Source organism: Homo sapiens, chromosome 11 (assembly GCF_000001405.40).
Source record: "Homo sapiens chromosome 11, GRCh38.p14 Primary Assembly".
In the NCBI taxonomy this organism is placed as follows: domain Eukaryota; kingdom Metazoa; phylum Chordata; class Mammalia; order Primates; family Hominidae; genus Homo; species Homo sapiens.
In genome coordinates, this window is record NC_000011.10 from 28,208,910 (window position 1) to 28,226,201 (window position 17,292).

A 17,292-nucleotide genomic window follows, 5' to 3' on the forward strand; every position below is an offset into this window, starting at 1 on the left:
GAGTTGATGGCTCCAATCACGTATTAACTCAGGACATATGATGGGTTTCCCTTCTAGTTTCATAAATTCCATTTGTCTGCCACTTTTTGGTTTCTGTGTTACACTTGACTGGTAGTAATAGATTTTTTTTCCCCTGTGGAAACTTTCTTGATTGTCAGTACATCTACAAGGGCATAATCATGATACATTAAAAATAATCATGTAAATTATAATCACTCACATTTTTCAGAATATTGCTAATGATGATGATTTTTCTTTAAATATTGATTGGGACTTTCTTGTCTCAGAATAAGGGTAATTGTATCTAAATTGTTTTATTTAATCTACTTTTAGTTTAAATCTATAGTTACAGCAAGGCTAGGTATTGATCCCATGACAAGGAAGTAGTTTATGGTTTTGCCTTGGAAAAAATTCTTTGGTTAAATTATGTTGAACTTCTTAAAATTTTCAAATTGATGTAATGCATAGTGGAAGATTTTTGCCAATTCATCGATGTGTAAAATAAGTGACTGGCAAAGGAAATTATTTGATCTTGAGATTTAAGTGTTTCTATAAATAAAAAGATATTGTTTAAAATGGTAAAAATATATTTAGCCATGCCTTTTATGGTGATAGTGATAGAAGTACAAAGTTAAGTCACACTACAACATTTGTGTTAAAAAGCATTGCTTGTACATTTTCACCACATTTACATCTTTTTATATTTTATGTCCATCCTCCAATTTTGATCAGACGATTTCCTCCATGTTATTCTTTCAGTAGCAGGCTAACTTTTATGAGGACTTGATCAGCGGATGGGACTTAGCATGGTAGATACGAGCCAAAAAATCAAAGCATAATTGCATGCCCAATTTCTGACCACTGTCCCTGAAATAAGTGGAAACATTCAGAGCATGGAAATATATTCAAATCCATGACAGGAATTTCCCTTGTTATGTACTATGCACATGAACTTTAAGAAAATTGTATGTTTAGATATTTTTAAATCTAGCCAGTAGACTTATGTTGTCATTGTAGTCAATATTATTAGAGTAATTGTTTTATTTTCATAACACCAATGAAGTTTACTGAAAGGTCCCATTAAACTAAGAGCATAACTTTGAGGGAATATGTGGAGAATGTCTTGACTTGCAAACTAGTTACAATCAACTAACTTGTACACACATATGTTTCTTATGATCCAGGTCTGGTTGCTTGCTCAACTGTGACGTGACTATTCTCTTTAGAGTGTGGCCAAATAAAATAGCCAAGAAATAGATTCAGATTCAATTAACCATACTGTATATCTGGAATGAGCCAAGCATTGAGTGATTTGTACTTAAGTACATCCTATCATGTTGTCCTGGCAAAATTATTACTGGCAAATGTTTCACTCTTAAAAATGTTTTGATTTACATGAGAAATGATATGTTACCTTAACAATTAGGCAGGTGGTGATGGTATCTTCTTTTCTTCTTCATTTTTTTTTTAACCGCTGAAGACACTGGAATTTTGCGACTTTAAGTAACTATCCCAAAGACATAGATACTTTGTGTCAAACCTAGAGTTTACCCTAGGTATTTTGACTTGAAAAGCATTTTTTTTTCTTCTCAGTTCATATTTGTTATTTTATTATTACAGATACAATCTGTAAGTTTGTCAGTTTTCCAGATTTTATCTGATTTGTCCTGTGCTTATTTATTATTAGGGATGTTTATTCTCTCTCTCTGTCTTTCTGTTCTTGAGTATCATTTTCATAGAAAGCTTTAAGAGAAATTGAGATAAAATGAGCCACACTAATTGTAAGCCATCTCTAAATGAGAAATTATTGAAAATGTTATTACCAGCTGGATGCTGGGAAGTGTTAAAGAGCTGGGGGCACAACAGTGTGACCAGTTTGACCTTATAGAGAGAAATATAAATTTGTCTTGAATTAGCCAGTCTGTGTTAGAGGTTATTTTACTGATAGTCTGATCAGTTCTTTTAGACTTATCACTCATAATTGAGCCAGATCTCACATGTAACAAATTCAACTATAGGCACAACGATTGTAATTATTTTCCTATTTACTGTCAAGTCTGAAAATCATTGTGTGCTTCTAGAAATTGAGATAGTTGTCAAGAATAAGTTTTGTTTATGCTAAGTTGTAATTTTCTTTTTCTGTGTTTGCTAGATTTTTCTAGATATGACATTTGGTTCGGGAGGGCACACAAAAGCCATTCTGCAGAAGGAGTCAGATATTGTTCTCTATGCCTTGGACAGAGACCCAACAGCTTATGCATTAGCTGAACATCTTTCAGAGTTGTATCCGTAAGTAATACCCTTGCATATTTATTTGATTTTGGTTCTTAGTTTTACAGAGCTTGGTTTACCACCTTGGAATTTGTTCTGCTTTGCATGGGCTATATTTTACTCCAGTAAATATTTTCTTCTTTTTTCCCCAAAAAGAATTAATGTAAGTGATGTTTTTAGTACCACTTAAAGTAATGCTATTTTCCAGTTATCCTTTCTGAATCCATAAAAAGAAATACAAAATGTCTTCCACCTACAAGATTGAAAGTGTTTTGGAATCCATCCACAAAAAATGAGTTTTGACAATAACTCATAGTCAAAAAATAATTTTTAAACATTTTTATGAGTTTATTTCTAAGAATTTAGCAGAGTAAATAAGTATGTGAGAATTCTGTAGAACTCATGAGGACATATACATCAACATAATATACTTGTTTCCTTTGAATTTTCTGAAATTCACAAGTAAATCTAGAGTGATCCATCCTTCTATCAGAAAAAGTGATGTATAACTAAAGAACTTTTTAAAAATATAAAATATTATATGAATGAGTGGTAAAACCATCTGCCTTTAAAGAAACATTTTGAATTAGGGAGTAGACATGGTATGTTGTTTAAAGCCATCATTTTAAAAGAGAAAAATATCTTGGAGCTAAGATGGCTCTCTCCAAATACATAAAGGGCTGTTTTCAGGAATGGGAAATTGTTTTATTCTGTCATTCATCAGAGACTGGAGTCAAGAAAATAGATGGGAACTTGAGAGGTAATTTTGACTTGATGTGAACTGTAGTTCACATCAAAAGTTGAAGTTTTGACTTGATGTGGACTAGAGTTTTTACTAGTTGTAGCTATTCAACAACAAAATGGTCTCTTTGGTGAAGTTCGAAAAGTATGACCATGGAAAAGTTTAATCAGACACTAAGAATAGGAAGTGTAATTCGTCATCTAGAATAGTATTTACAGCCTCTTTCTGGTCCCAAACTCTTTGCAAATCTAATGAATGTGATTAACTCTCCCCATAAAACTATAAATAAATACACATAAGCTTTTGTTTACAAGATCATAGGATTTATGGAGTCCCTGAAACCTACCATTTGACCGCAGATTATTTCATTTCTTCCGAGAATAATATGAAGACGTGATTTAATGACATGGTACTAATTTTTAATATTTTAAATCTATCTGTCTTCTGCAGTGTAACTTAGATGCGCCTTCTTTAAGAAGATGTTTTATTAGAGCATTCATATTTGCGAAACGTTGTATGAGTTCACTTGGTTATGATGTGAACATTCATGAAGTATAGGCCTCTTTTATACAGCAGTCCCTTTGTACCTGAGGAGAAGTGGATACCAAAATCCATGGATGCTCAATTCCCTTACATAAAATGGTTCAGTATGTGCATATAACCTACACACATCCTCCCATATAGTTTAAATCATCTCTAAGTTTCTTACCTAATACAAAGTAAATGCTGTTTAAACAGTTGTTATACTTTATTGTTTAGGGAATAGTGACAAGAAGAAAAAAGTTTTGTACATGTCTAATACAGATGCACGTGTCTTTTTTTATGATCTGCAGTTAGTTGAATCAATTGATGTGGAATCCACAGATAAGGAGGGCCAGTCATACTTTACTGTCATAGAAAAACTGAATTCTCGTAAGATATTGTTGTTTCTTAAGGCAATGATTCCCAATCCAATGATTTCAGTGGCTCTTATTCCTTTAAACACCACACTTTCTCAAATGTAGCTTAAAGTTTACAAATTTTACCATGTGTAATTTTTTTTTAACCTAACAGGAACTATCAGGCTGTATATTCTTTTCAGTTTATAGATGTGGAAACTATTAGCCAGATAGATGAAGTGATTTGCTAAAAGGCATAAACGACTTTATGGGGACAGACCTGCGACATGTATTCCAATCTCTAGCCTCATTTTATTAAATATTACTGCCTTGGCTCAAATCTTGAGACTTTTTTTACTTCACTGACAAAATGATTTCTTTGTCAAACATAATAAATTAGATAAGAACAAGGAAACAAATCAGAGTAAGCCAAGAAGAAGGAATTAGTACAGATAAAAGCTAGAATCAAGGAAAGTATAAACAAAAAAAGAAGAAAAAAATTGAAAGGATAAAGAGATCACAAGAGATCAGTCTTTGAAAATAGCAAAATCACTTTTGAACCTGATTTCTAGAGACAAAAAGTGTGATTAAGATTCAGAGGGAAGACCAACCATAGACACAAGATAAGTTCATCATAAGATAATAAAACTGCAATTCTCTGGTAACTTGCAAAACCTAGATGAAATGAATGATATCCTAATAAAATATAAATTATTAAAACTTGATTAATAGTTACAAAATTTGAATGTCATTACCGTAATAGAAATTAGAAGGTAACTGACCCTGACCAAATGGATTTGCAGTTATCTAATTCTTAAAAAAAAAAAAAAAAATAGGAAAAAGCAATGCCTTTTTTTCTTTTTTTTTTTTTTTGAGACGGAGTCTAGCTCTTTCACCCAGGCCGGACTGCAGTGGCGCTATCTCGGCTCACTGCAAGGTCCGCCTCCCGGGTTCACACTATTCTCCTGCCTCAGCCTCCCGAGTAGCTGGGACTATAGGCGCTTGTCACCGTGCCTGGCTAATTTTTTGTATTTTTAGTAGAGACGGGGTTTCACCGTGTTAGCCAAGATGGTCTCGATCTCCTGACCTCATGATCCGCCCGCCTCGGCCTCCCAAAGTGCTGGGATTACAGGTGTGAGCCACCACGCCCGGCCAAAGCAATGCCTTTTACACTAATCCTGACCATGGTAAATTTGGAAAGTTATTTCAGTTAACATTATGAATTTAGCATGATTTTAATACCCATCTTTTTTTTTATTGGAGACAAGTTTTCACTCTGTTGCCCAGGCTGGAGTGCAGTGATGCCATCATAGCTTACTGCAGCCTCTGCTTCCTGGGCTCAAGTGACCCTTCTGCCTCAGCCTCTCAAGTAGCTGGGACTACAGGTATGCACCTGTCTAATTTTTTATTTTTAGTAGAGATGAGGTCTCTCTATGTTGCCCAGGCTGGTCTTGAACTCCTGAGCTCAAGTGATCATCCCACCTCAGCCTCCCACAGGACTGGGATTATAGGCATGAGCCACCATGCCTGGCCTAATACCAAATCTTGATAGAGATAGTATAAAAAGGAAAAAGGTCTAAGTTTGCTGAAGTATAGAAATACAAAAATTGAAAAGGAAATACTAGTATATCTAATTTACCTGTTATTTAATTAAAACAGTAATACCCGTGGCCTAATGAAGTTTATTTCATGAAGATGAGATGTTCCGTGTCAGGTAGTTAATCAATGATAGGTTGATAAGCATGACAATAATCAGCTAGCTATTCTTATTTAAATTTCTGTTAAATATAAGGAAACTACTTAAATGTAAAATATTCTCAATCAAGGACAAGCAGTAATTATTTTCCTAAAATGTGAAGTACTGTAACTATTTAAGACAAAATTAGGATGTAAATAGGATTTTTCTATAAATAGTATTTCTCAATATTTTTTGAAGGTCTGACAAAGGCTAAAGCAAGGTTAGAATATTCTTTTTATAATGATCTACTGAATAGTTAAAAACTCCAAATACTTATAAAATTAGTAAGATGATAAGATGTTTAGCTAAAAATTTAAAACTCTATTCAGAATAGAAGAACTCTAGGGACAACAAGGAAGTAAGCCCTTTCCTTTCCAGCATAAGGGTCACAGCTGATACCCCTATAACAAAGAGAGGTTGACAAGAGAAAAGAATAACAAATTTATTTGACATAGTTTTACATGGCATAGGAGCCTTCAGAAAGAAGATGCAAAGATATAGAGAGAACTATCCATTTTTTATGCTTAAATTCAATAAAGTATGGAGAGCATGTAGAACTATGATTGGACAAAAAGGATATATGGTCTAATGCTAACTGACTGAGTTGGGGGAACTCAATAAGGCCTCTCTATGCAACATTCCTTTTTGCTGGGTGTGAAGGTAGGACCCCTGTGAATGAGGGTCTTAATTTCTTTATGGCCATTTATTCTATTACACAGAAAGAAGTGGGGGAAGTTAGATTAATATTTTAGGCTTTGAAGCTGGCTTTGGAGAAAAAAGGTTCTGGTTTCTATAGGGGAGGTTAGAGTAATATTTTAGGCTTTAAAGCTGGCTTTGGAGGAAAGGGGTTCTGGTTTCTATGACCCACGTTGGAGAAGAGGGAATCTAGTGTGGCTCGCCTCTGAGGAGAATGAGAGACAGCAGGGAAAGAGGTGGTCAGAAGGTAACTTTGCTTCTAAGTCTGCTTCTTAGGCCTTCACTTGGGGCTATTGTTTTCTGAGCCCCAACAGTACCTAGAAAGGGAAATGGGAAAAAATATTCTATTCACAACAGCTCCTAAAATTGTATAAAATATTTAGTAATAAATTTAACAAAGAGCACACTTCCAAGTTAAAGAAAACTATAATGTTTTTGAAGGGCATACAAGAAGATTTGAACAAAAGGGAAGACATATTTCTTTTGAGGTAGAGAGAATTAATATTATAAAAAGAGGATGGAACGAAGAGGATCATACCTGCAACCTCACCACTTTGTGAGGCCAAAGCAGGAGGATCTCTTGAGCTCAGGAGTTAGGAGACCAGTCCTGGCAACATAGTGAGACACCGTTTCTTACAGAGAAATGGTGGTGTGCACCTGTAGTCCCAGGTACTCAGGAGGCTGTGGTGGTACTCAGGAGGTTGAGATTGCAGTGAGCTGTAGTCATGACATTGCGCTCCAACCTTGGTGACAGAGCAAGATCCTGTCTCAAGATGGGTGGATGGATGGATGCATGCATGGAAGGATAGACAGATCAGAAAGAATACAAATGAAAAGAGTTAATGCTCCCTAAATTAATATATACATGTATTGTACATGTAAATTACTTTGTTTTTTAGATTTGGATGATGTGCTCCTTAGTTTGTATGGGGCAAAAAGTGACAAGATGTTTTTTGAATTAAAAAGTAAGAGGAAACCTGCCTTACTAGATATAAGATTACACTATAAAATCACTGTAATGAATCAATACAATATTGATACAAGAATAGGCAAGTGGATTAATGGAGGAAATAATCCAAAAATTGATTCTGCTAAATAAAGGCATTTAATTGAAGATTAAAATATTTTAATTCATTGAGAAAATGGTGCATAATTAAAAAATGATGCTGTTACAATGCCTGTCAGACTTGAAGAAAGTAAAATAGATCCATTTCAAAATTTGGATTCAAGAATAACTTCTAGATGGTGTGAAAAAATTGTGAAAATTTGAATATACAAGTTCTATGAGAAAATTGGAGAGACTATATACACAATCTAGTAGTGAGAAACTTCTTTTTTTTATTATACTTTAAATTTTAGGGTACATGTGCACAACATGCAGATTTATTACATATGTATACATGTGCCATGTTGCTGTGCTGCACCCATTAGCTCATCATTTACATTAGGTATATCTCCAAATGCTATCCCTCCCCCCTCCCCCCACCCCACAACAGGCCCCAGTGTATGCTATTCCCCTTCCTGTGTCCAAGTGTTCTCATTGTTCAACTCCAACCTATGAGTGAGAACATGCGGTGTTTGGTTTTCTGTCCTTGCGATAGTTTGCTGAGAATGATGGTTTCCAGCCTCATCCATGTCCCTACAAAGGACATGAACTCATCTTTTTTTATGGCTGCATAGTATTCCATGGTGTATATGTGCCACATTTTCTTAATCCAGTCTATCATTGATGGACATTTGGGTTGGTTCCAAGTCTTTGCTATTGTGAATAGTGCCACAATAAACATACGTGTGCATGTGTCTTTATAGCAGCATGATTTATAATCCTTAGGGTATATACCCAGTAATGGGCTGGCTGGGTCAAATGGTATTTCTAATTCTAGATCCCTGAGGAATCGCCACACTGACTTCCATAACGGTTGAACTAGTTTACAGTCCCACCAACAGTGTAAAAGTGTTCCTATTTCTCCACATCCTCTCCAGCACCTGTTGTTTCCTGACTTTTTAATGATCGCCATTCTAACTGGTGTGAGATGGTATCTCATTGTGGTTTTGATTTGCATTTCTCTGATGGCCAGTGATGATGAGCATTTTTACATGTGTCTTTTGGCTGCATAAATGTCTTCTTTTGAGAAGTGTCTGTTCGTATCCTTTGCCCACTTGTTGAAGGGGTTGTTTTTTTCTTGTAAATTTGTTGGAGTTCATTGTAGATTCTGGATATTAGCCCTTTGTCAGATGAGTAGGTTGCAAAAATTTTCTCCCATTCTGTAGGTTGCCTGTTCACTCTGATGGTAGTTTCTTTTGCTGTGCAGAAGCTCTTTAGTTTAATTAGATCCCATTTGTCAATTTTGGCTTTTGTTCCCATTGCTTTTGGTGTTTTAGATATGAAATCCTTACCCATGCCTATGTCCTGAATGGTATTGCCTAGGTTTTCTTCTAGGGTTTTTATGGTTTTAGGTCTACCATTTAAGTCTTTAATCCATTTGGAATTAATTTTTGTAGGAGGTGTAAGGAAGGGATCCAGTTTCAGCTTTCTACATATGGCTAGCCAGTTTTCCCAGCACCATTTATTAAATAGGGAATCCTTTCTCCATTTCTTGTTTTTGTCAGGTTTGTCAAAGATCAGATAGTTGTAGATATGCGGCATTTTTTCTGAGGGCTCTATTCGGTTCCTTTGGTCTATATCTCTGTTTTGGTACCAGTACCATGCTGTTTTGGTTACTGTAGCCTTGTAGTGTAGTTTGAAGTCAGGTAGCTTGATGCTACCAGCTTTGTTCTTTTGGCTTAGCGTGACTTGGCGATGTGGGCTCTTTTTTGGTTCCATATGAACTTCAAAGTAGTTTTTTCCTATTCCGAGAAGAAAGTCATTGGTAGCTTGATGGGGATGGCATTGAATCTATAAATTACCTTGGATAGTGTGGCCATTTTCACTATATTGATTCTTCCTACCCATGAGCATGGAATGTTCTTCCACATGTTTGTATCCTCTTTTATTTCCTTGAGCCGTGGTTTGTAGTTGTCCTGGAAGAAGTGCTTCACATCCCTTGTAAGTTGGATTCCTAGGTGTGTTATTCTCTTTGAAGCAATTGTGAATGGGAGTTCACTCATGATTTGGCTCTGTGTTTGTCTGTTGTTGGTGTATAAGAATGCTTGTGATTTTTGTACATTGATTTTGTATCCTGAGACTTTGCTGAAGTTGCTTATCAGCTTAAAGAGATTTTGGGCTGAGACGATGGGGTTTTCTAGATATACAATCATGTCATCTGCAAACAGGAACAATTTGACTTCCTGTTTTCCTAATTGAATACCCTTTATTTCCTTCTCCTGCCTGATTGCCCTGGCCAGAACTTCCAACACTGTGTTGAATAGGAGTAGTGAGAGAGGGCGTCCGTGTCTTGTGCCAGTTTTCAAAGGGAATGCTTCCAGTTTTTGCACATTCAGTATGATATTGGCTGTGGGGTTGTCATAAATAGCTCTTATTATTTTGAGATACGTCCCATCAATACCTAATTTATTGAGAGTTTTTAGCATGCAGGGCTGTTGAATTTTTTCAAAGGCCTTTTCTGCATGTATTGAGATAATCATGTGGTTTTTGTCGTTGGTTCTGTTTATATGCTGGAATACGTTTATTGATTTGCGTATATTGAAGCAGCCTTGCATCCCAGGGATGAAGCCCACTTGATCATGGTGGATAAGCTCTTTGATGTGTTGCTGGATTCGGTTTGCCAGTATGTTATTGAGGATTTTTGCATCGATGTTCATCAGGGATATTGTTCTAAAATTCTCTTTTTTTGTTGTGTCTCTGCCCGGCTTTGGTATCAGGATGATGCTGGCCTCATAAAATGAGTTAGGGAGGATTCCCTCTTTTTCTATTGATTGGAATAGTTTTCGAAGGAATGGTACCAACTTCTCCTTGTACCTCTGGTAGAATTAGGCTGTGAGTCTGTCTGGTCCTGGACTTTTTTTGGTTGGTAAGCTATTAATTATTGCCTCAATTTCAGAGCCTGTTATTGGTCTATTCAGAGATTCAACTTCTTCCTGGTTTAGTCTTGGGAGGCTGTGTGTGATGAGGAATTTATCCATTTCTTCTAGATTTTCTAGTTTAGTTGTGTAGAGGTGTTTATAGTATTCTGTGATGGTAGTTTGTATTTCTGTGGGATCGGTGGTGATATCCCCTTTATCATTTTTTATTGCATCTATTTGATTCTTCTCTCTTTTCTTCTTTATTAGTCTTGCTAGCAGTCTATCAATTTTGTTGACCTTTTCACAAAACCAGCTCCTTGATTTATTGATTTTTTTGAAGGTTTTTTTATGTCTCTAACTCCTTCAGTTCTGCTCTGATGTTAGTTATTTCTTGCCTTCTGCTAGCTTTTGAATGTGTGTGCTCTTGCTTCTCTAGTTCTTTTAATTGTGATGTTAGGGTGTGAATTTCAGATCTTTCCTGCTTTCTCTTGTGGGCATTTAGTGCTATAAATTTCCCTCTACACACTGCTTTAAATGTGTCCCATAGATTCTGGTATGTTGTTTCTTTGTTCTCGTTGGTTTCAAAGAACATCTTTATTTCTGCCTTCATTTAGTTATGTACCCAGTAGTCATTCAGGAGCAGGTTGTTCAGTTTCCATGTAGTTGAGTGGTTTTGAGTGAGTTTCTTAATCCTGATTTCTAGGTTGATTGCACTATGGTCTGAGAGACAGTTCGTTATAATTTCTGTTCTTTAACATTTGCTGATGAGTGCTTTATTTCCAACTATGTGGTCAATTTTGGAATAAGTGCGATGTGGTGCTGAGAAGAATGTATATTCTGTTGATTTGGGGTAGAGAGTTCTGTAGATGTCTGTTAGGTCCGCTTTGTGCAGAGCTGAGTTCAATTCCTGTATATCTTTTTTAACTTTCTGTCTTGTTGATCTGTCTAATGTTGACAGTGGGGTGTTAAAGTCTGCCATTATTGTTGTGTGGGAATCGAAGTCTCTTTGTAGGTCTCTGAGGACTTGCTTTATGAATCTGGGTGCTCCTGTATTGGGTGCATATATATTTAGGATAGTTAGCTCTTCTTGTTGAATTGATCACTTTACCATTATGTAATGGGCTTCTTTGTCTCTTTTGATCTTTGTTGGTTTAAAGTGTGTTTTATCAGAGACTTGGATTGCAACTCCTGCCTTTTTTTGTTTTCCATTTGCTTGGTAGATCTTCCTCCATTCCTTTATTTTGAGCCTATGTGTGTCTCTGCACATGAGATGGGTTTCCTGAATACAGCACACTGATGAGTCTTGACTCTTTATCCAATTTGCCAGTATGTGTCTTTTAATTGGAGCATTTAGCCCATTGACATTTAAGGTTAATATTGTTATGTGTGAATTTGATCCCGTCATTATGATGTTAGTTGGTTATTTGGCCCGTTAGTTGATGAAGTTTCTTCCTAGCCTCGATGGTCTTTACAATTTGGCATGTTTTTGCAGTGGCTGGTACCGGTTGTTCGTTTCCATGTTTAGTGCTTCCTTCAGGAGCTCTTGTAGGGCAGGGCTGGTGGTGACAGAATCTCTCAGTATTTGCTTGTCTGTAAAGTATCTTATTTCTCCTTCACTCACGAAGCTTAGTTTGGCTGGATATGAAATTCTGGATTGAAAATTGTTTTCTTTAAGAATGTTGAATATTGGCCCCCACTCTCTTCTGGCTTGTAGAGTTTTGCGGAGAGATCAACTGTTAGTCTGATGGGCTTCCCTTTGTGGGTAACCGGACCTTTCTCTCTGGCTGCCCTTAACATTTTTTCCTTCATTTCAACTTTGGTGAATCTGACAGTTATGTGTCTTGGAGTTGCTATTCTCGTGGAGTATCTTTGTGGTGTTCTCTGTGTTTCCTGCATTTGAATGTTGGCCTACCTTGCTAGATTGAGGAAGTTCTCCTGGATAGTATCCTGCAGACTGTTTTCCAACTTGGTTCCATTCTCCCCATCACTTTCAGGTACACCAATCAGATGTAGATTTGGTCTTTTCACATAGTCCCATATTTCTTGGAGGCTTTGTTCATTTCTTTTTATTCTTTTTTCTCTAAATTTCTCTTCTCGCTTCATTTCATTCATTTGATCTTCCATCACTGATACCCTTTGATCCAGTTGATCGAATCGGCTACTGAAGCTTGTGCATTCGTTACGCAGTTCTCGTGCCATGGTTTTCAGCTCCATCAGGTTCTTTAAGGACTTGTCTGCATTGGTTATTCTAGTTAACCATTCATCTAATTTTTTTTCAAGGTTTTTAACTTCTTTGCCATGGGTTTGTACTTCCTCCTTTAGCTCGGAGAAGTTTGATCGTCTGAAGCCTTCTTCTCTCAACTTGTCAAAGTCATTCTCTGTTTTCCGTTGGTGGTGAGGAGCTGTGTTCCCTTGGAGGAGGAGAGGCACTCTTATTTTTAGAATTTCCAGTTTTTCTGCTCTGTTTTTTCCCCATCTTTATGGTTTTATCTACCTTTCGTCTTTGATGATGGTGATGTACAGATGGGGTTTTGGTGTGGATGTCCTTTCTGTTTGTTAGTTTTCCTTCTAACAGTCAGGACCCTCAGCTGCACATCTGCTGGAGTTTGCTGGAGGTCCACTCCAGACCCTGTTTGCCTGGGTATCAGCAGAGGTGGCTGTAGAACAGCAAATATTGGTGAACAGCAAATGTTGCTGCCTGATCGTTCCTCTGGAAGTTTTGTCTCAGAGGGGTACCTGGCCGTGTGAGGTGTTAGTCTGCCTCTACTGGGGGATGCCTTCCAGTTAGGCTACTGAGGGGTCAGGGACCCACTTGAGGAGGCAGTCTGTCTGTTCTCAGATCTCAAGCTGCATGCTGGGAGAACCACTACTGTCTTCCAAGCTGTCAGACAGGGATATTTAAGTCTGCAGAGGTTTCTGCTGCCTTTTGTTTAGCTATGCCCTGCCTCCAGAGGTGGAGCCTACAGAGGCAGGCAGGCCTCCTTGAGCTGCGGTGGGCTTCACCCAGTTTGAGCTTCCCAGCTGCTTTGTTTACCTGCTGAAGCCTCAGCAATGGCGGGCGCCCCTCCCCCAGCCTGGCTGCTCCCTTGCCGTTTGATCTCAGACTGCTGTGCTAGCAATGAGTGAGGCTCCGTGGGCATAGGACCCTCCTAGCCATGCCCAGGATATAATCTCCTGGTGTGCTGTTTGCTAAGACCGTCAGAAAAGCGCAGTATTAGGGTGGGAGTAACCCGATTTTCCAGGTGCCGTCTGTCACCCTTTTCATTGGCTAGGAAAGGGAATTCCCTGACCCCTTGCACTTCTGGGGTGAGGCGATGCCTCGCCCTGCTTTGGCTCACGCTTGGTGTGCTTCATCCACTGTCCTGCACCCACTGTCCTACAATCCCCAGTGAGATGAACCTGGTACCTCAGTTGGAAGTGCAGAAATCATCCATCTTCTGCTTTGCTCATGCTGGGTGCTGTAGACTGGACCTGTTCCTATTCGGCCATCTTGGAACCACCCTCTGAGAAACTTCTTTAGACTAGAAATCATAAATCTATAAAATAAATATGATTATGTAATTTTAAAAAACCTATGGCAAGACTAGTTTGGTAATTTCTAACAGCAAATTTGAAAAATAAATGTTAGTAATATAGAAGATAGGAAAAAGATTGATATCTACTATATAGGATAAGTTCTTACAAAACTAGAGAGAAGACAACAAAACATACAGAAGGGTGATTCATAGAAGATTAAACTGTGAAAAGATGCTCCAATTCAGTAGCAATAATGAGGGCAATCAAAATAATAATGGTATAATACTGAAAAACATAATTTTGCTAGTGAGGATGTGCAGAAAAGGATACTTTCATCTATTTTGGGTGGACATCTTTTAATATAAAACACATAATCTTCTTAGAATCTTTTCCATCTAAGTAAAAGAATATCTAAGGAAACATGTTTTTACATTTCCTACAAACTTTATATATACATCGCTTGTGTATATATAATCATGGAAAACTTGAAAAAGACAGGATTAACAATGGAGGGAGGTTCAGGGAAAGATAAAACAATGACTAAGAAAAACCCAGAGATTTTATGTTTACATCTCTGCATATTTATGCAAAATAGAAAATTCAGAGTTATATATAATTTATTAATATCCACATATGTAGTAATAAAATGAAGTATGCATGAGAAAGAAAAACACAAATTTGTGTTTGGGAGTATTTGTGGCAATAATGGATCGATCAATGGATAGTTGGTTGAAAGGATGCATAGATAGATTACATATCTTCTTAAAAATATTTATGTAATTGCAACCTGTAGTAGGGCACAGAATGAAACAGTTTGTCATTTTAGAGTAAACACCTTTTGAAGAAACATAGTAATTTTTTTCTTTTATTTATTTTGCTGTTATTCTAAAAGAGGAGTTAAGTTTCTCTTAAAAAATCCCATGTCCTTTACTCTGTCAAAACTAAGTCAGAAATAGAAACTAACATTTTTACAGAAAACTGAGCAATTCATGGGAAGGCTGAGTTTTAGGCTAACCCATTTTAGCTCTTTCAGAAAAGATGACATGTCAGATCACCTGTTGTTTGAAGACTGAAACTTTTTGCTGTTGCCTCTGAAGACTGTATAAGAGGAAACACATTTAACTTGCAGCAATGAGGTGTTGGTTGACTTTTTAACGTAGTGGAAGATGGATATTGGAAGACAATTTTAAAAATCAAAGTTTTTTATCTTCTGAATTTTGGAATAATACATACTATGTATACTAAGTTTAGAGAATATAGGTATGTATAAAGAAAATAAAAATCATTCCATCATTTTACTATAATTTTGTTTCTAAAAATATAATAAACTGTTATTTTCAACATTTTATAAAAGAAGATATGCATACTGGGGTAAATTTATAATATGAAAGTATAAACTCACCCATAATTTTACCACTTTAGGTAATCGGGGTTAGTGATTTTACGTTTTTCATTTCATCTTTCTAATTGTCAGTGTTTCATTATGTATACTCTTTCCTGTTTGAATTTTTTTTTGGACACTTTCACTTTTTGTACTTCTAAAATGTTAGAATATCATGGCAAAGTTTAAAATCCATTTTGGTTAATTGTATTAAATGCATAACTGCATTTTAAAGAATTGACATCTTTATTCTGTATCCCAATCCAGAAGCCTGATATATCTTTCCACTTATTCTGGTATTTTGTGTTTCTTAGTGAAATTTTTTCTTAATTAAAATTAAAAAATGCAGGAAAGTACTGAGAAAAAATTAAAATAATTCATAGAACTAACACCAACGTAAACAGGTTGGAATATTTCCTTCTAATTACTTTGGTTATCTATGCATATATGTTCATATATGATACATGGATGTATATTTTCCTAAGTGGATTCTACTTATATATTATCAGCACATTCCTCTTTCATTAGATTGTTTTAAAACACACGATTTTATTGGTTGTAGGGTATTTTTATCGTATAATTATAACAATTTATTAGAACCCTAATTCTTATATACTCTTATCTATATTCATATTGTTGATGATTTAATAAATAGCGAATATCTGATGCGTTTTGCATAAACAAATCTGAGTGTGTTTTCTATAAAAGGGTAATTATATCCGGATACATTGGTGTTATCTTTTTCTGTATTTTTAATTTTTGTGTTTTATTGAACTTTTATAATTTCTTATGTCCATTATATATATTTGATTTTGCCTCTTCACTATTTGATTTTGCGTCTTCACTAGTGATTTAGTGACACTAATCACTTTTATTTTTTTAATTTATTCATCACTGACTTTAGTATTTTTTAAGATAAAAAGTATTTAAACACTTTTTTAAGTATGTTTTTAAAATAATATTTATTGATTAACCACCATCATGTAAGGTGATAAAGTAATACTCCTTTATTTGTATTTTTTCTTCTGCTATCTTACTTCTTGGCTCTTTAAATTCTATCTTGGGATTTAGATATTAGTGTCTACTCTTATGATAACTATTAGCATTTACAGTTTTGGCTGTATTATCTAAAATAATACTTTATAGTTTGGCCATTTTAATTTATTTCAATGGGCCTACTAGCCTTTTTATAATATTTTCAATTCCATTTTGCGTTCCTTATGTGGGTTCATGTCTCAGTCAATTGATTACGTCTTTAAGTAGTTTATCTTTAAGATAAATATGCAGAAAGGATACATCTGAGGTTTTGTTTACCTGAGAAAACAGTGTTTCTCATGCCTTCTTACATTTGCAATAACTTGATAGAGTATAGAATTCGGGGAATTTTATAGATATCACTCATTTTCTTCTGGTTGTAGTATTGTGGAGAAGTCTGAGGTCAACCCAGTTTTTTTTTTTCTTTTTTATTTCTGTTTCTTGGAAATCTATTTCTCACTTGTTCTTTTCACCCCCTGGCTGGATGCTTATTCGATACAGTTCTTTGAAAACGTTTGATATTTATAAATTGTACTAAAAAATATTACTGGTTGGTCACTTTTAGTTAATTTTCTGTATACTCCATGAACAATTTTTGTCCTGTGGATCAGGTCTTTCATCTACAAAGATGACTTTTTGTTTTAGTAACCTCTCTACCCTTATTTCTATTTTCTACCCTATGAGCCCTCATTATTTGTTGGTTAGATGTGTATTATCTGTCCTGCATGTCTTTGATTTAATCTGTTAGTGTTTTCAGCTATTTTCACTTTACTGCAGTATTCTGCAAAATCTCTTTGAGATTATTCTCTGGGTTAAGGATTTTATTTTCTACAGTGTTGTTTATGGTTTTTATTGTCAATATTGTTCAAGTTTTAATTCAGCTAATTAGAAGTTATCTTTTCTTATATAATATTTTCTTATTTAATTTGTTGACTTTCTCCTTTCTGCCAAATCCTTTTTATTTCTTCTTCTCTTACCATTTCATTTCTATATTTTATTTGTGAACAGAGTATATACATCAAGCAATAGGTTCCTTCTGGTGCTGTCTTGTGTCTCTGAGGCAGTGGGTGTG

The 17,292-nt window shown here is 35.7% G+C and overlaps 1 protein-coding gene across 11 annotated transcripts in view; it reads left to right on the top strand.

The window, feature by feature from the left end:
* Nucleotides 1-17,292, top strand: part of METTL15 (methyltransferase 15, mitochondrial 12S rRNA N4-cytidine) — a 424,088-nt gene that overhangs the window by 100,522 nt on the left and 306,274 nt on the right. For 9 of the 11 annotated variants that reach the window (XR_007062458.1, XR_930849.3, NM_152636.3 and 6 more), the window contains one exon: nucleotides 2,153-2,289. Coding sequence is in view for 7 of the 11 variants with exons in the window: in NM_152636.3 (NP_689849.2) it covers nucleotides 2,153-2,289 (137 nt within the window). In the remaining 4 variants the exon portion in view is untranslated. Of the gene's footprint in view, nucleotides 1-2,152; nucleotides 2,290-17,292 lie in introns of those variants that run through there. The other 2 variants (XM_047426518.1, XM_047426517.1) reach the window with 2 other exon arrangements.